The 23,231-nt window shown below is 35.3% G+C and overlaps 1 protein-coding gene across 9 annotated transcripts in view; it reads left to right on the top strand.

Annotated features, from left to right (window-relative positions):
- Positions 1–23,231, top strand: part of CEPT1 (choline/ethanolamine phosphotransferase 1) — a 45,606-nt gene that overhangs the window by 15,683 nt on the left and 6,692 nt on the right. For 3 of the 9 annotated variants that reach the window (NM_001007794.3, NM_001330743.2, NM_006090.5), the window contains exons 3-5: positions 4,199–4,346; positions 5,974–6,115; positions 19,698–19,782. In NM_001007794.3, the coding sequence (NP_001007795.1) occupies positions 4,199–4,346; positions 5,974–6,115; positions 19,698–19,782 (375 nt within the window). Of the gene's footprint in view, positions 1–4,198; positions 4,347–5,973; positions 6,116–11,924; positions 12,010–17,932; positions 18,078–19,697; positions 19,783–23,231 lie in introns of those variants that run through there. The other 6 variants (NR_138485.2, NR_138484.2, NM_001410844.1 and 3 more) reach the window with 4 other exon arrangements.

Below are 23,231 nucleotides of genomic sequence, written 5' to 3' on the forward strand. Positions count from 1 at the left end.
TCTATTTCTTTTGGTTCAATCTTTATAGGTTATACGTGTCTAAAAGTGTATCTACTTCGTCTAGGTTTTCCAGTTTGTTGGCATATAGTTGTTCATGACAACCTCTAATGATCTTTTATATTTCTGTGGTATCAGTTGTAATGCCTCTTTTTTTGTGTCTGATTTTATTTATTTGGGTCTTCTGTCTTTTTTTCTTGGTTATTCATAGCTAATAGTTGGTCAATTTTATTTCTTTTCAAAAAACCAACTTTTCATTTTATCATTTGTGTGTGTGTGTGTGTATACACACAACATATATGACACATGCCATGTGTGTCATATATGTATATATACATATATATGATATATATATTCACTTTTTTGGGGGTTTTTTTTGAGATGGAGTTTTGCTTTTATTGTCCGGGCTGGAGTGCAATGGCATGATCTTGGCTTACTGCAACCTCCGCCTCACCTGGGAGGCGATCCTCCTGCCTCAGCCTCCCGAGTAGCTGGAATTACAGGCATGCGCCACCACACCCGGCTAATTTTGTGTTTTTAGTAGAGATGGGGTTTCATCACGTTGACCATGCTGGTCTCAAACTCCCGACCTCAGGTGATCTGCCCGCCTTGGCCTCCCAAAGTACTGGGATTACAGGCGTAAGCCACCAAGCCTGGCCAGATTTTCATGTACATATATAACCCACACATATGTGTATATGTGTGTGTGTATATGTATATATATATTCTATTTCATTTAGCTCTGATCTTTATTTCTTCTAATTTTGGATTTGATTTGTTCTTGCTTTTCTGGTTCTTTGAGGTGCATTATTACGTTGTTTATTTGAAATCTTTCTACTTTTCAGATGTGGGCATTTATTTTGCTTTATTCTTTCCTCTTAGTACTTCTTTTGCTGTATCTTGTAGGTTTTGGTATTTTGTGCTTCTGTTTTTATATTTTTCAAAAAATGATTTACTTCTTAATTTCTTCATAGATTCATTGGTCATTCAGGAGCATGTTTGTTAATTTTCATGTATTTGTACAGTTTGCAAAGTTCCTCTTGTTATTGATTTCTAGTTTTGTTCCATTGTAGTCTCAGAAGATACTTGAAATGACCCCAACGCAAATATTTAAAAATTTGTTGAGACTTGTTTTGTAGCCTCACACATGGTTTGTCCTGGAGAATGTTTCGTGTGCTGATGAGAAGAATGTGTATTCTGCAGCTATGGAATGAAATGTTCTGTAAATGTCTGTTAGGTCCATTTGGTCTGTAGTGCACTCTAAGTTCAATGTTACTTTGTTGGTTTTCTGTTTAAATCAGGGGTGTCTAATCTTTTGGCTTCCCTGAACCATGTTGGAAGAAGAATTGTCTTGGGCCACACATAAAACACTAACGATAGCTGATGAGCGGGGAAAAAAAAATCTTATAATGTTTTAAGAAAGTTTACAAATTGATGTTGGGCTGCATTCAGAGCTGTCCTTGGCTGCATGCAGTGCAGCCCACGTGCCACAGCTTGGACGAACTTAATTTAGATGGTCTGTCCAGTGCTGAAAGTGAGGTAACATTTAATAGTTTTTCTGATGTATCCTCCCAGAAAAAGAAAAAAATTACTCTTGTACTAGCATGTATATATATATTTGTATGTATGTAAAATCTTCAGTTCTGTTTCAAAAGTTTAGTAAAACCATATGTTTCTTGGAATTTTTTACCTGAGTTGACTCATATAACATCTCTGCAAGATTTTACAAGTTGGTTAATTGCTACATTGTGATAAGATTATTTGTTTATGTCAGTTCTTTCCCATACACTTATCAGGACATAATGAGTTCTGAATGATGCATGAGTTCCTTCATTCATTCAGTATCTCCCCCAGGGTCTTACGGCAACTGGGATCATATTTATTCCTGAATTAGGCTTTCATCTTAAAATACCTCTGAGAAGTATAAAATAATGTGCACAAGGAAGAAGTATATAAATATTAGTGTATCATTGTGCAGATTCACAGGAAGAAAGGAAAATCCAAAGTCAAGGAAACTTTTTATGTCTGTGATTGTTATTTTACTATTTCCTAGGATTGTGTATATACTAGTTATCTTTGCTCCGGAGCAACATTTTGCCCCATTAAAATCTTAAGCTTGGACCCCAAGAAACCCCTAGATTTCTTGTCCCCTAAAGCAGAGGTATTCAGCAGAATTTTCTATGAAGATGGGCATGTTCTATGTCTGTGAGGTCCAATATAGTAGCCATAGCTACATATGGCTATTGAGCATTCAAAATCTACCTAGTGTAACTGAGGAACTGAATTTTTAATTTTATTTAATATTAATTAATTTCAAATAGTCACAGATGACTGATGGCTGCTGTGCAAGATAGCGCAGCTCTAGAGAGTTACTGGATTCCTTTAGGAGCAAGAAGCAGTAGACCCAAAGTCCAGAAGACAGAGTTCTTAGTCATACAGGATTAATTACTCAGTTCAGTGTGCTTGCATGTAAAGTATGGTTCCATAATCATATTTATTGCTTTCAGGGTTTATAACTCTGGCTTAGTGGAGGTATGTGCTAGCTCCTTTGGATAATCTCAGTGTCTTAAAAGACGGAACTCAAAAAAGGTTTATGAAAAGATCCTTACCTTTTAATAACTGGTACTAAATAGATCTCTATCAGAGAGAAACTCCTTTGCAGTACAGAATATACTGAATGTTATTTGCATCTCTGAGTGTTTAATATTCACAGTGTAACTTGATAACCAATATACAGTAAACTACCTTGTGATTATAAAAAGTATTTTATAGCCTGGGAAGGGGAAAATAATGAAAAGTGATACAATATACTCTTCCACATTCTTAAGGATAAATCAAATAAGACCTCTTCTTTTTGAATATACATTTAAATTCAATACCAGGCTGGGTGCGTTGGCTCACGCCTGTAATCCCAACACTTTGGGAGGCCGAGGTGGGCGGATCACTTGAGGTGAAGAGTTCGACACCAGCCTGACCAACATAGCAAAACCTTGTCTCTACTAAAAAAAATAAAATAAAATAAAAAATTAGCCAGGCTTTGTGGCACATGCCTATAATCCAGCTACTAGGGAGGGTGAGGCAGGAGAATCTCTTGAACCCAGGAGGCGGAGGTTGCAGTAAGCCAAGACTGCACCACTGCACTCCCAGCCTGGGTGACAGAGCAAGACTCCATCTCAAATAAATAAATAAATTAATTAATTAATTTAATACCAGCAGTTCAATTTCTGTTTGGGAAAAGAGAAGCTATTCCTTGAAAACGTGACTGTGGATTTGAAAAATAGTATTCTGAACACTCTATGCACTGGATATCATTTCCTAGTGTTATTTAATGGCCCATTGAAGAGATGTTTAAAAATGTTACAAACTCAAATAAATTTGGAAAATGGCAGGACATTATGTCCCCCTCTTGAATATTCACAGGATGTATTAGCAATATTAAGGACTAGAAGAAGTCCTGTAGTAAAGAAATCCATTTAACATTGTTTAGTGTTTAACCCAGTGTTTCCCATATGAGGTTAGCATGGAATTTTTCATGTAATACCTGCAAACATTTTGAAGGATATGATTTTGGAAAAAATTCAATAATTGACCCTTCTAATCTAAAGAATCTTATGGAAGACACCTAGTCCAATCTCTTGGGATTTTTGTAATCTCCCTTGTAAGTTGTTATCTAGCATCTGCCTGAACACCTCTAAAAGCAGGAAATTTAATTCTTTTACAATTCTTTTTTTTTTTTTTTTTTTTTTTTTTTTTGAGACGGAGTCTCGCTCTGTCGCCCAGGCTGGAGTGCAGTGGCGCAATCTCGGCTCACTGCAAGCTCCGCCTCCCGGGTTCACGCCATTCTCCTGCCTCAGCCTCCCAAGTAGCTAGGACTACAGGCGCCCGCCACTACGCCCGGCTAATTTTTTGTATTTTTAGTAGAGACGGGGTTTCACCGTTTTTTAGCCGGGATGGTCTCGATCTCCTGACCTCGTGATCCGCCCGCCTCGGCCTCCCAAAGTGCTGGGATTACAGGCGTGAGCCACCGCGCCCGGCATTCTTTTACAATTCTAATTGTTTCAGTGAGTTCTTCATTATGTAGCACTTGGATCTTCTCTCCCATAGCTTCCAACTAGCTTTCCAACCTGCAGGTAAAAATATGTTAGTCAAACATGGTAACTGTGTGTCTGAATACTCTTGCCTTTCTTATTTTATTTCACAGGCACCTCTGTGGGCATATATTGCTTGTGCCTGTGGCCTTTTCATTTACCAGTCTTTGGATGCTATTGATGGGAAACAGGCAAGAAGAACCAATAGTAGTTCTCCTCTGGGAGAACTTTTTGATCATGGCTGTGATTCACTATCAACAGGTATTGTTGATTTTTTTAATGTTATTGATTATTAACAATGGTTAAACCAGTGTGCTAAGCAGTGTTAGAATACATGTTTAGTCATGAGAATAAGTAATTTTGTATTAAATTTTAGTATTTCTCAAAAGACTATGAACCTAGTTAATATTTGTTCATTATTGGTAGTGTTAGGAAATTTAGAAATTACTTTCTGCTTGTTATTTTTAGCCCCAAATATTGTTTTGGCATCTTTTGTTTTTAAAAGCTTGGGGCATAATTGTCACCATCAAAACTCTTATGAACTAAATGAGAGTACAGTGGTGGGAGACTAGTTAGGTAATTTGTGGTCTTCATATATTTAAATGAATGTTATGTAGACATTCAGAATTATGTTAATGGACTTGGATTATAACTACGTCATAAGAAGCTCAGAGAAAGACTATGACAAATTAGGAGTATCGTTAATATTGCATTGTGTACTGGAAATTTGCTAAGAGAGTACATTTTAGATGCTTTTACCACAGGAGAAAAAAGGTAACTATGGGACATGATGGATAGGTTAATTTGCTTAACTATAGTAATCATTTATATATATGGCATGTTTTACACCTCATATACAATTTTTAAAAGAAACACTAAAGTGCTAGCAATAACTGAGTTACTCTGTTTGGATTATAAGTGATATCTCTTTATTTGCACTGTTTTGCAAGTTTTTAAAATAGTAGTTTATTATGTTTTTAGAGAGGAAAAAGACACTTAAAATCTAAATGACAGTTTTTCAGCTAGTCTTTCTGACAGGAACTCATCCCTCCCCTCTTTTATTTTTGTTTTATTTAGTTTCTCAATTATTTTCTTGTTTGACATGGCACTTAAAATATTTAAAAAGAAACTAACAAAAACCCCTTATAGTTTTACCTCCTGAATCCACATTTACAGGTATAGGTGCATATCAAAATCATTGCTTCATTGTATCCCAACAGCAGCTTATTTAGTAGAGGAGGAGAAGCAACTAAGGTCATATAATTTTTTAAGAGTCAAATCAAGAAATACTCAAAACTTCTGTTGAATAAATGGTAGTTGGCTGTCTTGAAAGGCAACAACCAGCTGACTGCAGGATGGCAGGATGGCAGGCTTCCTATTATTTATTTTAAATTGCAGTCATTTTTGCGTTGTAGTTTGAGGTCTAGACTTTTATAGGAAGTCTTTTTCTATGTATGTCACCCATAACAATATCTGTTTAAAAAAAAAAAGACAGTTATCAATCTGAAGCAAGTAAGTCGGTCCGTCTGGGGATTATATAGCCCCTTTGTTTTTCTTTTTTGGCTGTCTGCCTTGTAATGATTTGCTGATCATTAGTACTAGTGTCTCTAAGTCAGGAAAATACTCGAAGAAATGTTGAAGTATTTTAGTTGCCTTCAAGAACTTTGCTTCCACTAAGTGATTTGGTAAAAAAAAAAAAAAAAAGAGAGATTGAAATTATGGGGTAAGAGATTATGTAACAGATTATATCCTACTTTTCTGTTACAATAGATAACTGAGAGAAGATTATGCATTTACAGCATATCTTTTTGTCTCATCTAAAATCATTTCCAGCTCAGTTGTTTGCTATTCATATTATTTGGTTTTCATCGTGATCTTTCTTCTGCAGTTTTTGTGGTTCTTGGAACTTGTATTGCAGTGCAGCTGGGGACAAACCCTGATTGGATGTTTTTTTGTTGTTTTGCGGGGACATTTATGTTCTATTGTGCGCACTGGCAAACGTATGTTTCTGGAACATTGCGATTTGGAATGTAAGTAATACTTAATGGTAATTTTTGTTTTCTCTTTCACATATGGAGAATGTTGCCTTATAAGTATTTGAGTATTAGAAATTGATCAAATCACTAAGTTAGTTTAATAAATTAAAAAATTTATGCTTCATTATTATAGCTATTTCCTAATAGTCTCTGCATATGTCCCTCTATTATACTTTTTTAAAAGGAGATATCAGAACCTCCCAGCCAGTATTTTAAAAGCAATACAAAAAGCAGTAGCCCCTCATCTTTGTCTTTCCCACAGAAAAATTCACTTTTTTTCCCCACCATTATTTACCTTAATTCCATTTTTATTTTCACATATAAAAATGCATTTCCAGGAAAAAGAAGATGGTTTCTGAGAGCAGCGCCCTAATCCAATATTAATTTTTAGTGTTTCTACTATTTTCAAAAATGGCAGAATTTATAATATCTGGATTTCACATAGTTTATGTTTCGTTGGTTATTATCTCACAGTTCACTTTCAATACCTATTTTGAAAGCTTATTTATCTGTCAGCCCTAATGTATTCTCTTTCCCTTTCAAATAATACATCACCAACCATATGGTGTGGGAACTGAAGGAAGGAAAGAAAATTAACCATGGATGTAGGAGAAGAGTAAATAGTGTTTTTAGAAGTGATTTGATATCACAGCTTTCTGTCTTCCAGTCTTTGAATTTCCCTCATGATGTTGTCCTGTGATGAAGTATGTATTTAGAGAACTGTAAACAACTCCATATGGTTGGATGATAAGATGCCTGCCTGTAGGGAGTGGCAGGAGATAAGGCTGGAGAAGATCCAGAAAATCAAGGTCCTGTGCTCTGCCAAGAAATATGAGCTTTTACCCTGAATCTGCAGGGAACTTTTGCAGGACCTAAAGCAGGGAAATGACAAAAGTGCCTTTTAGAAAGATCAGTCTGGCAGTAAGGCAGAGGGTAAATTGTAGTAGGCTGTGACAGAAGCAAGGAGACCCGTTAGAGGAAGCATCAGCATAATTAATGTGAATGATGAAGCATGCACTAACACAATGGCAGTGCTATTGCAGAGCAAGGAATAAATTGGAGAGAGACTTTTGAGGTAGAAACTATAGGACACAATGTGTGTTTGGATGTGGGGAATGAATGAGAGGGCAGAGACTGAAATGACTCCTAGTTCCCTTCCTTGGGTGGCTGGATGAAGGTAGAGAAAGGCACTACAGGAAGAGGAACCTATTTAAAGAGAGCAGTCTACCCAGAAACATATGTGAGGGATTTTAGACATCCAAATAAAATGAGAACAGGAGAAAACTTAGAGAACAAGCTTAGAAAGAAGCCCATGAAATTTATTGAACAGCCAGAGTAGTAGGAGGCGTACTGGAATATAAAGCCAGAAGGATGCATTTCACAAAAGAACATTGCTAAATCCTGCCAAGACTCAAAATGAGGACAGAAAAGTGTACATTGAATTTGGCAGTGTGAACTATTCATAGTAATTTCTGTGTAATGGTGAGACAGAAGCCAGACTGTAGGGGATAAGAAGTGAATGGAACAAATAAGTAGACTACTATTTATTACACATTATATATCGTTACTTATAAAATGTGTGACTGTGATGTGAAGGAGAGAAGCATTGGTTAGAGGAGAGAATATGGGCTCAAAGGAAGGAGGGTCTTGTATTTTTATGAGAAAATTTTGAGCATTCAGAAGAAATCTGCTAGAGAAGAGATTGAAGATACTGAATAAAAAGAGGGAATGATTTATAGAACAATAGCTAAAGATATAGGAACAAAGGAGTTCTAGGGTAAAAGGCAGAGGCATTAAACAGGAGGAAACTCTGCCACTGACACTAGAGTGCTTGCAAGGCTTGGGGTTGGGGGCGGGGGGAAACACTAGATATATTAAGATTAGTTTGAATTTAATATATGAACTTGAATTTTAGTATTACAAGGGATTAGTTTTAATTTGGGAAATTGTATCCAATTTTCAGAAATTCTACATTTGCATTAAAGCAGCACCAAATTTGTTTTTTAAATTAAAAGCAGGCTATAATGTTCATAGAAATGTGCTATGGCCAGGCACAGTGGCTTATGCCTTTAATTCCAGCATTCTGGGAGCCCGAGGAAAGAGGATCACTTGAGCCCAGGATTTCAAGACCAGCCTGAGCAATATAGACCTGGTCTCTACAAAAAAATTTTTTAAAAATTAGCCAAGCACGGTGGCGCATGCCTGTAGGAGGATCACTTGCGCCCTGGAAATAGAGGTTGCAGTGAGCTGAGATAGCACCACTGTACTCCATCCAGCCTGGCAACAGAGCAAGAACATGTCTCAAAAAAAAAAAAGAAATGCAGGCTAAGTGCTCTACACTAGGGAGCCATTTATCAAAATAACAATGTAATGGAGGCATATAGAATAAATAGAGATATACATATAGATACATAGAATCTATAGAATACATATAGATATCCCTAAAGACTTATTGCAGTTTGTATGCATGGAGGAGAAAGTCAAAATTTATTTTGCTTAATAAGGAGGGAACAAGGTCAGCTCTGAAATGTAGTTTGAGTAAAGAAATTTTTTAAAATCACTTGCATTTTCTTACTGTTTTCTAGAAAAAAGTGAAAGCAGATTTAAGTACCTTAGGAATCTTATTTTTAAACATGCTTATTTATTTGAATTGTTTTATTTTGATGTTTACATACATAAGTGAAAATAATGAGAATTTCTTTTTTATTTATAATTTAGGTTGTTATACTTTTAATAACTTCATAAAATAGAATGTTTGCCAGATAAGAATTTTTTGTTCCTTAGCCTCTTTATTATTACTGTTTTTAATTGCTATTAAGTTTGCTTATAGTATCTTGAACAAAAATAGTCACAGGATTTTAATTCATCTGTAACTAAATAATTCTCATTAAAGTCTAGCCTTTTGAGAAAGCAGATGTGCTTTGGATACATCTTCCCTGAAATTATGAGCTACGTCTTCCAGCAGTTTGCTCTGATCACAGCTAAAAGCTACCTTGCACAGAGAATATGAGTGCCTGTCATGTCTAGACAGACTCCTGTTCTCACAGTGCCGCTGGATTGAGCAAGTAGAGATCTGACAGAGATGACTAGCCTGGATAGGAAAGACTGGGGAGGAAAATGGGGTTAGAGGCTAGAATTTCATGGGAGGATTGGGTTGTAGAAGATAAATATGAATTGAAGCTCATCTTTGCAAAATACTCTTTAAGATATTTATATCTTAAATTATACTGAATATCTCCCATTATACTGAATGGGAGAGTTCACATTTTCTCCCTTAAGACCTAAACTATCTATATTAGGATTTTTTTGGATTGTTTTGTTTTGTTTTGTTTTGTTTTTGAGATGGACTCTTGCTCTGTTTCCCAGGCTGGAGTGTAGTGGCACAACCTCGGCTCACTGCAACCTCCGCCTCCCGGGTTCAAGCAATTCTGCCTCAGCCTCCCGAGTAGCTAGGACTACAGGTGCGTGCTGCCACCATGCCCAGCTAGTTTTTTGCATTTTTAGTAGAGATGGGGTTTCACCGTGTTAGCCAGGATGGTCTCGATCTCCTGACCTCGTGATCTGCCCACCTTGGCCTCCCAAAGTGCTGGGATTAGGTGTGAGCCACCGCACCCGGCCTATATTAGGTTATTTTTAATTCTATAACTTGTAGACATATATATATAGAATCATTTCTATAAGTTAAATGCTTAGAAATCCTAATCAATCTTTAATAAAACTATACTTACATAAAACATCGGTCTTTTTTTTTTTTTTTTTTTTTTTGAGACGGAGTCTCACTGTGTCGCCCAGGCTAGAGTGCAGTGGTGCGATCTCGACTCACTGCAACCTCCGCCTCCTGGGTTCATGCCATTCTCCTGCCTCAGCCTCTGAGTAGCTGGGACTACAGGCACCCGCCACCATGCCCGGCTAATTTTTTGTATTTTTAGTAGAGACAGGGTTTCACCGTGTTAGCCAGGATGGTCTCCATCTCCTGACCTCGTGATCCGCCCGCCTTGGCCTCCCAAAGTGCTGGGATTACAGGCGTGAGCCACTGCGCCCGGCCTAAAACATCGGTCTTAAAAAAAAAAAAATCTATGCTGTAAAGGCAGAACTCACTTAAATTATTTCAGGAGCAAAATACTCTTCAATTATTTTTTCCAAGACAAAAAATAATAAATTGAACTTGGGCCAATATATGTTGGCTCAAATGTTAATCTCTAAGTTATCTTTTTTATATATCAGCTTGGGCAAGGCTCGTAACTTTCATGGGCCTCATTTCCTAATTTGTAAAATAAGCTTTAGATGATCTATAAGGTTCTTTCTGTTTATAAAGTCTGTGAGTCTACTAATTCTACACAGATATTATTACAAGTGTACTTATTTATAATTACAGTAGGCAGAGTATTAATTTTTGCTTTTATTACATTTTTCAATTCATGCTTCTAAAGTTTCACATTTATATTAGCTAAAAACCCTGTCACCAAATGTTTATTTCTATGTAAGTAAGTAGCTTCCCACTCTTTCTTTTCTATAGTTAAATGAAAAAAGTTAATAGGCTATGTATTCCACTAGGTAGTCTGACAAATTTAGTTCATCTTTTTGTCCAGGTGATTTTTAAAGAATAATTATTTGAAGACCTCTTGATAATAAAAAACTGTTGTTTGTTAATGTATAATCCACTTTCTATGGATTCAGAATTGGGAAACTTTCTAATCCCTGCGTAGAATCTATTTATCTTTAAATGTCTAATACTTATCACATGAATTATTAAATACCAGAGGTTTTCCTTTCAGTTTCCAACTTCCCTGTGTAGCTTTTTTTCAGCAATGATTTGTTCATTTGGGCCTCAGCTCCGTTCGTTTAATTTTATCAGTTGCCATAGATGATGTCCTAAAACAACCATTTGTATTAATGTAAAACCTAGATTGCAGTTTGGCCTCTCAGATCACCAGGTAAAATCATGGACATCTATCTATCTCATTAGCATTCCTCAGTTCTTAATTTTTATTTAAGTAGTTTTTATTTGAAGCCTAGTCTATACTGCTACTGTTTTGTGTGTTATCTGTGTTTCCAAACTTTTTAAGTGATTGAACTGGATGTTTTACTTACTTTTATCACTAGTAAACTAATCCAATGTAGTAGAGTATTATAATGCTGGTGTGGAATTAGGGAAGAGAAAGAGGAAAAAGGAAAACTTCTGGACTAAAGATTATCAGGAAATAGGATAAGGAGATGGCCAATTTGATTTTTGCTCTAACCATATCCAAATAGAAGTTACTCTTGATTAGATTCTTTCCCACTTACCCTTTCCACATATATGCTAGTTTTTTTGAGATAGCAGAGGTAGGAGTGTGGTGAGGCTTGGGACAGGGAAGGAGCGTAAGATGGATTAGTGTTTTTTCAAAATGTACATTGGGACTTCTAAGAAGAATTCCTATCTACAGGGAAGTCTAGATCAGTTCTGGTGCTAAAGGGATTTATGTCATAGTGTAATTATTTGGCAAGTAATATTCACCACTACTAGGTAATTAGAGTTGATTCTGTGATTTTAGTATTAGTGTTTCCAGCTGCCTACTTAAAAGTCATTTTTTCAGTATATTACAGTTTTAATTTTTTTAACTTCTATCTTGATTTGGATAAGAACTATGTATGTATGTATAAGGATAGTATAGTACTGTATAAATTGTATCATTCCATCTTTAGGTGTCTTTGCAAGAAGAATGCTACTTTTTAAATCTATTTTTGTTACCTGTGTTAGTAGGGCTCTTTAGCAAAAGTTCTGAGTAAAGTTATTTTGAAATGTTTGTTTCCTTATGCATAGATTCGATGTTACAGAGTCCCAGATCATAATTATAATATGCCAGCTTCTCACAGGAACCCTGGGGCCTTGGTTCTGGAACTTCACGGTAACTGCTAGAATATTCATGCTATCTGATGTACAATGGTGTGAATTCAATAAAGACAGCACCTTTGTCATGCACAGAATAATTAAAACATGAAAAATCAAAAGTCTTCCTGTTGGTATGTCACAAACAGGTTATTAGAAAACATAATTTTAATATATTAGGGCAATAAAAATCCACCCTATTAAATAAAATTTTTAAAAAGTGGTATTTCTGGTGATTTGATGCTAAAGTCAATTCTCCTGTTTGCCTATTGTGCCTATTATTTTTATTCTATGTACTATTTTTTAAAACAAATACCTTTCCACCAGTAAATAGAATTTTTTTTATATTTCTATTTTGAAAACAGAATAAAGCAAGCAGAGTTTTTCTTAGGTAAGGAAGTTGAGATGATTCTATATTAATGTAGGAAAGATTCTGCTTATTCTGTTAACTTCTTTAGCATATACTTTAAGCAGTCTAGTACTAGTTCTGCTTGAGTTTACAGCAGTCTTGGTGTTGTATAATATTTATGCTGGAAGCTATTCTCATTTCTGTTTGTTTTGCTTAATGTTTTTCACTCTTAGTTGTGCTTTTGAAACTAAATATCCTTAGCTTTTCATGTTACTATAGTCATTCTTTGAATACTTTCCTTTTTTGTTTTGTTTTCTTTTCAGTAAATACATATTTCTCTAATGTACTGCTAAAAGTAATGTATCTTTTTCCTTTTTTTTTTTTTTAATTGAGATAGAGTCTCATTTTGTCACCCAGGCAGGAATGCAGTGGCACAGTCATAGGTCACTGCAGCCTTGAAACTCCTGAACTGAAGTGCTCCTCTCACCTCACCTTTCTGCACTGTCACACCTGGCTAATTTTAAATTTTTTTTTTGTAGAGACAGGTCTTGCTGTGTTGCCTAGGATGGTCTTGAACTTCTGGCCTCAAGTAGTCCTCCCGCCTCAGCCTTCCAAAGCACTGGAACTACAGGCATGAGCCACTGCATTCACCCTTCTTTCTTATAACTGCAGTTTTGACCTTATGACTTTTAAAAACATTGTTAGGAAATGTTTTCCCAGTAAGATAGTCCAGAATCATTCACACTTTAGCATAAGAAAAAATAGGGCTTAGATTCAGTTTATTTGGCAGTTCAGAGAATGTTGGAGAACTGTTCAAATGAAAACCTGACAGATCATTATATCAATGCAAGGGTTTATTAAGTTTCCTACATTAGGTCGCCTGCCCTGAAAAAAAAAAAGAATTGTAAACATTTTAATATTGCTTCAATAATACAGAAATAGTGAATTCCTTGTTGGCCAAGTTCTTTGGTTCTTTTTTTTTTTTTGAGGCGGAGTCTCACTCTGTCACCCAGGCTGGAGTGCGGTGGAGCTATCTCAGCTCACTGCAAGCTCCGCCTCCCAGGTTCACGCCATTCTCCTGCCTCAGCCTCCCAAGTAGCTGTCACTACAGGCGCCCACCACCATGCCCAGCTAATTTTTTGTATTTTTAGTAGAGACGGGGTTTCACCATGTTAGCCAGGATGGTCTCGATCTCCTGACCTCGTGATCTGCCCACCTGGCTGAGTTCTTTCTGAAAAGTATATTTCAGTGTTGTAAATCCAGTTATTCAGTGGCAGTAATGATGGCTTTGAGGACAAATTCATAGGGAGGGATATTCTGCATCTTTTTTCAAAATAACCTTGGAATGTGGAAAATACAGTTGTCCCTCCATATCTGTGAGGAATTGGTTCCACAATCTGCAAATACCAGAATGCAGGGATACTCAGGTTCCTGATATAAGGTGGTGTAGTATTTGCATAGAACCTATACACAGCCTCCTGTATACTTTAAGTCATTCTACGTTACTTATACCTCACACAATGTAAATGCCAAGTAAATAGTTGTTATACTATAATGTTTAGGGAATAATGACAAGGAAAAAAGTCTGTACGTGTTCAGTACAGACACAACTTTTAATATTTTTGACCTGTGGTTGGTGTAATTCCTGGATGCAGAACCCACAGATAGAGAGGGCCGACTGTACTAAGAAGTGTATCGTTAGCCTCCCTTTACCCTTACACTGTCTTCTGGTACTTTCTCCAAAGACCTGTAGCTTTATGCTCATTGCAGTTGCCTAGATTTATAGATTTATAATTTTTGATAGCCCCTTTTTTATTGTTGATTATACTTAGCAAAGGTCTTTTCCACCAATGTTCTTAATGAAATTAACAGTCAGAATATTGACTGTATCTACTTTCACCTTGTTTGTCTATGATAACAAAGTACCCGATATCTACTTTCACCTTGTTTGTCTATGATAACAAAGTACCCTATATTTATAGAGCCCTTTCTATTAAAATGTTTCTAAAAACTAATGCATTTTAACATCATAAAAAAAGTTTTGAAAATACTTTGTTTTCTCTGTATATACTGTATTTTCTTTTACCAGTTGCTAACTTGCAGAGATTTTCTTTTGCTTTTAATACTTATTGCTTAAACTGATTTGATAATTAAAATGAGATTGTCAAATATACTTTTTTTATGAAGTTTCGAAAAAAACTTCAGAAAGAATTGTCCTTAATAATTTGTTTCTAAGTGAATTTGATTTATTAGCATGTAAACTATCTATAAGCTATTTCCTGTTGTATTCTAGCATTTTTGGTGAAATTGTATTAGAATACAAAGAGTTTTAGCACTACAGAGGAAAAACACTCCGGTTTCTCTTCAAGGTTATTTTCTTTATAACCTTGGAAAAGTCACTTGACCTTTCTAAATGTTCTCATCTACAAAATGGTGATATTTCCTACCTCCTAGGGTGGTTGTCGTGATTAAAAGGGTGAAGAATGTAATGTGCTTACTGTAGTGCTAAGGATATAATAAGTCTTCATTATTGCTATATTAAGACCTGTTTTAGCTGACTCCCCAGTGGTTGGCAAATTTTGTATTGTGCCAGTTAGAGAGGAAGAATAAGTTCATGATCCCTTTATTTAACTCAGAGATTGTGAGAGGATTCTCCTTTTGGGTCTTATTGTTTTCAAAGGTGATAAAGATAGACTGCCCTTTAAATTTAAGACCTATACTCTACTTCTTTTTATATTAGAGGGCTTGTTCTATTCTAGCCTTTGGCTATATTTTTCTCTTCTTACTCAGAGTTATTCAATGGGCTTTTTCTTTTTAGTCTTCTCAGAAAGTCTGAAGATCCATATAGTCATTCATGTGGTAGGTAATGTGTTTTTAATAATTAAGCTTAATTTCAAAAATAGACTTGTCTTGCTGTCTGTTTTCCCAATTTATAACACTTGAATTAAAAATACTCCAAGTTATCTCTCAGTTGTATGGTTAATGTTATTTAATACTAAGATTACCATGTCCAGTTTGTCCCTTATCAAGGGTAGAAAGTAAAATATTCAAAGTCAGTATATTGAATTTCTAGGCTAATCTTTATTTCAGTCCACCAACAGTTCACCCCACCCATGGTATTTCTGGTAGAATCTATAATGAATGTCATGCTCTGGTTATCCATAAGTTACCTAGAGCTTCAAATCCCTTTACAGATAATTATAAACCTGGAGTTAATAGCTATCTAATCCTTGAGTAAGAATCTAGACGTCTTCAAATAGATGATTTTTTTAAACAAAATCCTTCTCTTTAACAATAGCTCACAGGTCAAATTGTACAAATTGGGGATTCTTTGACATTGTGAATTTATCCCTAGTGCATATCCTATGTTAACCAAACTAATATAAACAATTGTGTTGCCAAACTACAACACAATTAAATTTACTATTTATAGTTTAACAAAAATACTTACAAAATAACTGCAAGTGTATCTTTGAAATGCATATGTCACATGTAGAAGAACAATAGATTGTTTCTGATTTTAGAGGGGAAAGACATTAAAAATTTGTGGGAGAGATGATTAATGTGCTTAGCTTTCATAGAATGCCATTTAAATCCCTTCACATCCCTCAATTAAAACTGAGTTCTGGTATTCAAACCAAATGCATTTGTCAGGCGTCTCTCTGAACACTGATAAACAAAAATGGAAACTTTCAAAATAGAAATTTTTCTCATAGTTAGCTAACTTACTTTGCAGTTGTTCTACCCCATTTTAAAAGCTATTTTGCACTTCTGATGTAATAACTGCCTTGATCAGGGAGTTTTCTAAGCTTTTTGTAGTGACGAAGACCTCCTGAGATAGTCACTCCAACTAAAGAGATGCTCTGTTCCCTTGTTTAAAAGTTTAAATTATTCATATTCATTTAGTACACTTTATTCTCTTAATCAGTTGACCATTAGGGTGTTGTAAGGAATGATTGGCCTAAAGTTTATTACGGGCGTTGAAGGTTATTTTGACCTCAGACTGTCAAATTTATAGCTTCCACATCAGATGAATGGTTTGCTTCTTTTTATTTATTTTTTGTGACAGCCATCAAAACAGTGTTTGTTTCTGGCTTGTCATAGTAATTTAAGTGTATCCTGATGAGAATATTCATTATGGGTTATCCCCAGTAACTGGGAGAATTCTTTTTTGTCTTTTGACGACCTATATTAAAATGAAGTAGAAATAGGAAATTATTTATTTATTTATTTTTGAGACAGAGTTTTGCTCTTGTTGCCCAGGCTGGAGTGCAATGGCACAGTCTCAGCTCACCACAACCTCTGCCTACCTGGTTCAAGTGATTCTCCCGCCTCAGCCTCCTGAGTAGTTGGAATTACAGGCATGCGCCACCACACCTGTTAATTTTGTATTGTTAGTAGAGACGGGGTTTCTCCATGTTGGTCAGGCTGGTCTCAAACTCCCTACCTCAGGTGATCCGCCTGCCTCGGCCTCCCCAAAGTGCTGGGATTACAGGCGTGAGCCACCACGCCCAGCCAGGAGATTATTTTAAAGCAGCACCAGTCAAGATGTTCATGTACCTTCATAGATATAGAAAATTGTGGTTAGTATCATTTAATTTTCTCCCTCTACAACTTTAGGCTGTAGAAATCTAATGCGACACATAAGAAATTTGTTTTCCCATATGTTTTGTTAAAAAATCACTGGCATTTGGGTCCTCTTTGACCACATACCCCATGTGTCTTGAAGGGTTTTTTGGTTTTGTTTTTTGTTGTTTTTTTCTTGGTGTGGTAGTAGTGGTCAGTTTCTTTGTTTTGGTTTTGAGGAATAGTCCCAACACTTGGGAATATTACCACTGACGATTCTCCATTTTTAAAATAATAATAACAATAAAAAGGAAGTGATTACAGACATGCCAAATCCCTGCCCTTATATAATATTCTGTCCTCTAAATAACTGTATTTCCTGTATGATCAAAAAGATTAAAATGAGCCTCTTTGTAGTATGTGTTACAGTAAATTGAGCCCATACTGAGACTTCTTAGTGGAAAGGTGGAAGAATGGATTGTCATGTAACTAGCTGTCTTCTAAACAAAATCATAAACTCTTGTTTATCATTTCTACCACCTGTCCCTCTTAGCTTGCTTTAGTTCCCATTCCTGGGAATGACTTTGCACTGCATGCACCCTTTTTCATTGACAGTAAAGATTAGAACCACACTTCCAGGAGTGATGATAGGCAGTTCTCATGATTCAGAGCAGAAGATTCTCATCCTGGAGTTCAGAATATTCTTCTAAATCAGATAAGCAAATAAAAAATATTCTTAACTAACTACCAACTGGTAAGTAAGTTTTCCTGGCCCTCTCTCCATAACAGTAAGACATTATTCATCTAATACAATGTCAGTATTAGAATGGTTAAGAAAATTCTGTCAAAAGTTTCAAATGACTATTCTATAAAACTTGCCCTAAGAATCCCAATTTGAGACTTTGTAAAGATCTTTTATGTTTCCTGTTCTCTTTTATATTCATCCATGGTACAAAGATTAATTGCATGAGGTTCCCTCCATTTTTATTTTGTAATTCTATACTTCTGGCCCTTCCCCTTCCAAAAGGCTACTTCATATATCCAGCAAAATGTTCTAAGATGTCTACCCTCCTCCACCCAAGACAGAATCGATCATCTTTGACACCTACCTGCTTAGTCTCCTGAATCTGCTACTGAGTGTAATTCCCCTTATTGGCAACACCACTCACCAGGTCAGCTCTACAGATTCTTTTTAGCCTAATTCAGTCCATTTTTTTTTTCAATGTGTATATCAAGATAACTACATCACTGTATGTTTGCAGCTAAATAAGCTTCTGTTTAAAAAACATTCTTGGGCAAACAAAGACCCATTTTTTTTTAGTTGCAAGACATTAGTTTCAACCCAGTTATTTATCACAGCATGACAGCTTATGTATCTTAAACTCACATTACAGATTATCTGCTTTACATATTTTTAGAAATGGAGGCTCTGTTCTGTTCTGGGAATTGAATCCCTTTGCTGTTGTTACCTACTTTTAGACTAATTACTTTTAATAGATAAATTATTCACTTTGTTGAAAAACTAGCATTATAAAAAGGTATACAGTGAAAAGTCTCCTCATTCTTATTTCCCAGCTCCCCAGTTTCTATACTATACTCCCCAATAGGTAGCCACCACTCTTAGTTTGTAATGTGTCTTTCCAGAAATTTGTTATGCAATTACTGGCAAAAATAAAAGTAGAATATTATTTGTCTCTTTTTTTACACAAAAAATAGCCTGTACACATTCTGCAACTTATTTTCACTTACTATATCTTTGCTACTTTTTATATCAGTATATAGAGAGCTGCCCTACTCTTTTTAAAAGCTGTAAAATATTCTATTTTATGGAAGTACCATAATTTATATAACTATTCCCTCTGAGGGAATTTTTTTAAATTATGCTATTATAAATTTATAATTCCATAGTGAATAACCTTGTACAAACATCATTTTGTGCAAGTATATCTGTAGGGTAAGTTCTCAAAATAGAAGGCATTTGAATCCAGTAATCTAAGAATGATAATCTCAAAATTGTAGAAGGTGCTAAGTTTACAAGAGGAAAGGAAAAACAGCATATGTTTTGCTTCTCAATCTTTTTGCCCATGTTCTTTTTTTTCACACTTTCAGGCTTCTAATTTCTGCTGCCCTGTTGTGCATGAGGTTTGTCTCTTCTTGACTGTAAAATTATTTTCAGCAACCCCAAAGCTAATTCTTGGCTGCTTTCAGTATCTTCTTTGCAGAAGTCTCAGAGTAGTTAACCTAGTAAGAATAGGAATTTGAGAACTGGAGGAGTTTTTTTTTTCACACCTATACAATGGCAGACATTAAATGAATATATCTAAAGAACAGTAAGTTTTACAGAGTCTTAGTGATTTATGTTAACTTTAATTAAAGCACACCATTTATTTCATCTGATACTACAAAGCACTTATTTCAAGATTTCATATTTTATAACAGTGCAATGTAATCCTCTGCTTGATACTCAAAATTTAATACCTCCTCAATTTTTTTTTTTTTTGGTGGGAAAGGTTAACCTATGGTTTCAGCCCAACTTCAATGAGTCAGAAATTTCCTTTGGAAAGGAGGGGTTTTTATTGCTCTTTGAAATTCATCAAATTAAATTAAAAGGCTTTGGATTTTATATGATTTTGCTCATAACAAATTTTTGATGCCTCCTTTTCCCCTTTCCTCAATATTTGAGATTTTTTTTTTCTATTGTGCATGATAGAGGAATGCTGCTAAGCTTGCAAGTAATTAACTTGAAATTGTTGTGACTAATTCTGCTCTTTTGGCTTTTTGTACCTAATCAGAATTGATGTGACTGAAGTGCAAATCTTCATAATAATCATGCATTTGCTGGCAGTGATTGGAGGACCACCTTTTTGGCAATCTATGGTAACTTTGTTCACATTGTGTATCCCATGTAATGCATGTTGTCTTTTGCTTGTGTTTTCTAATATGGGATAATCCAGTTAAAGGGTAATGTGTGAAATTCTTTTATTTTTTTCCAAACAGTAGAACACAACTTCTCTTTAGAGGATGGTGAATTTTACTACTTGAAGTTATGTAGAACGTTAGGACTATTCCAGGGCTATTATTTTTGAAGGCCATTGAGAATCTGAATTAGTATTGTTATCCCATTTTACAGATGAGGAAACAGCAGACAGTATAACAAGTTAACCAGTGACAAGATTAAATTAGACCTTTTATTCTCTTTCTTAACTACATGAGTCTACTAGTTTTTCTGTCATATACTTAAAGCTGAATAACAAATTTGAGATTGTAAGTTAACTCTGGTTCCAAAACAGGATAAATACCTGTTGAATGAAATCAGTGCCATGGGATTGTTTGAACGAGCTTGGACCTTGATTTCCAGGTCTACCTGAAATATAGTCACTCTTACAAACACAGATTCTTTTCCACAAACCTCTGAGGTAGGGAGTAAAATATGGAGGCCAAGAACACAAGCTCTGGAACCAGACTGTGTGCGTTTGACCCAGGTTCCATGGCCTACTGTGTGAACTTAATCTGTTGCGTAACTCTCTCTGGCTTAGTTTCCTCCTCTGTAACATGAGGTCATTAGTAGTACCTGTCTCATAAAGTTATTTTATGCATTAAAGGAGTTAATATATTGTGTAAAGCACTTAGAATAGTGCCTGTCAAATAATAAGCACTCAATAAAAGTTGTTGCTGCTCTTATAGTTTTAATGTATTCTTTCAGATTTGGGTTGTCATGGTATGTACTCCCCTGGTCATCAGTTAATTGCCGATTTCTACCATCACCCCTTCAGAATACAGTATTTATCATTCATTTGGTGAAATCTTAACAAAGAAAAGATTTACTAGACCTAAATTAATGCAATTCTTAAAAATCAGATTAATTTTAAAGTATAAGGGAAATTTACTGAGCAACATTTTTCCCTTACCTAACTCACTTTATGATGGAAAATTAGGTGCTTGAGGAAGTGTAATTGATACACTACCCACAGTATTTATTGCCAGAAATGAATTGTTAAGTATCTTTTGTTGGGAAGATGAATCTGTGAAGGGGGAGGAGATGAAGGAATAAAAATAATCCACAGTCAACTGGGAAAATTCTGAAACTATTCAGTTATGTACATAATATCATTCAGTTATGTATCTTAGATTTCACTATAGAGACCCTATTGGCTTTTGAGACTAATGTGTAGGAAATACGAATTTTATTACTTTTGCTCTTCAGTAGACTAGTTCTTTTTTTTAATAACAGTTTTGCCTTATGGGAAGGAAATAATAGTTTTTGTTTTCCTGAAAGCAGATCATAAAGCCTAAAGCTTACCCCCATTCCTAAAGTTTTTATATCCCTTGACTATGGTGATTATTATTTTTATAAGCCTTGTATACCAAAGTTTTCCCCCCAAAATTATTTGTAATATGTTGTACATAAAGTTTCAGCATACCAATATCCAAAAAGTGGGATTTCTGGCTTGATTATTGGAAAACAAGTCAGTGTTTGGTTTATACAGGTTAAGTATCCCTTGTCTGTAATTATTGGGACCAGTATTTCAGATTTCAGATGTTTTCAAGTTCTACAATATTTGCATATACATGATGAGATATCTTGGTATCTTGAGATACCAAGTCCAAATATGAAATTTATTTTCATATACACCTTATACACATTGCCCAAAGGTAATTTTATACAATATTTTTAATAATTTTGTGGATGAAACAAAGTGTGTGTATTGAACCATCAGAAAGCAAAAGTGTTACTATCTTAGCCACCCATGTGGATAATCTGTGGTTTGGCATCAGTGTTACTCCTGACTCTGAATTTACATACTACTGTTAAGCAATCATTTTCTAACACTTATTTACACGTAGATATATTTAGCAAAAAATAAGACATATCAGTGAAAAGATAATGTATTCAGGGTAGTGGAGCAGCACAATAGCATCACCAGAATACCTGTATGTTATCACTATTAACCAAAAAAGTATCTGCAGTCCTTTTTGACATTTTCAACAATATCTTTATACCACACAGCAGAGAATAAGCAAAAAACAAAAACAAAATTGAAAAGCAGTAATGCACTTAGTTCTTGGCCCCATGTCGGGCATTGGGGAGAACCTGTTGTTGGAATGTCCAGCCTGCACAATGCCATTTTATTACCCTTTGTGGGTGTACTTACGTGACAGGATATGGGTCTGTGCACAAAGATATATTGCAGCTATGAAGGGGGCTGGGAGGGTCGTTTTTCCCTTGGGGATGCTGAATAAACTTTTGTGCACCTACGTTTTGACCTCGACCTGTCACATAAGCTCAAGTGTGGAATTTTCCACTTGTGGCATCACATTGGCACTCAAGAAGTTTTGGGATTTGTAGCATTTTAGATTTTGGATTTTCTGATTAGGGATGCTCAACCTGTGTGCCTAATTATTTGTTATAAATATGGAAATGCATAAAACATTGTAAATGAAGTTGTCTGTGCACGTTATATACATATCCTTATTTCTTAGGTGATGCCTGGTAGTAAATTCCTTCAGGTATACTTTTTACCTTTTTCCATTATGATTTATACATATAATCTACACATGTACATAGTAGATATAATTTTTTCTTTTATAAAGATCAAATGTTTTGTCCTGTCTTGTAATTAATATAAACATCCTTTTTAAATTATATGTTTTATCTGAGGAACTCTCAGATTCACATCTGAAATGGAGTTCCCAGACCCAGTAAACTAGCAATCTAATTTCAGGATTCATGAGGTGAGGTTGCAACGGGAAAACAGATTCTCCCCCTGCCCCTTCATCCTATTGTTAGCACTTTGGTCCTACTGTTAGCATCATTAAACCAAAAGGGAACAACCCGACTTCTCTGGTGATATATTTGGAGACTTAGTGAAATATTCTGTTTTTTCTTTTTTAACAACTCCCAATACGGATTCCCATAATTGACCCCAGATCACTATATTATTTTTTTCTTTTTACTTAGCATTAAGGGTTCATTACTGAATATGCTGTTTTGAATTGCATTCTGTTAATACAGGAACAAATACTACATATTGAGCTCTCACATTTTTGTGTGCCAAATGGAGAAAAGATATTTACTTAGGGTTCAGGTATGAAATTTACATCTCTTCTGAGATTGAGGCCATAAAATGGAAATTGCCTTCCAAATCCTCATTAAGTTAGAAGGCTTTTACTGACATTTAGAAAGCAAGTTTATGGTCAGAACAAATAAAAACAGTGCAGATGTCTTCATAAGGCTGATTCCAGAAGATCAGCTGTTTTGTAAAGGTAAGTGATTTGCATCTATTACATATGGATTACCCATTCTTTCCCAAATTTTTTCCCCAAAG

The sequence above is a fragment of the Homo sapiens genome, chromosome 1 (genome assembly GCF_000001405.40).
Source record: "Homo sapiens chromosome 1, GRCh38.p14 Primary Assembly".
NCBI lineage: Eukaryota > Metazoa > Chordata > Mammalia > Primates > Hominidae > Homo > Homo sapiens.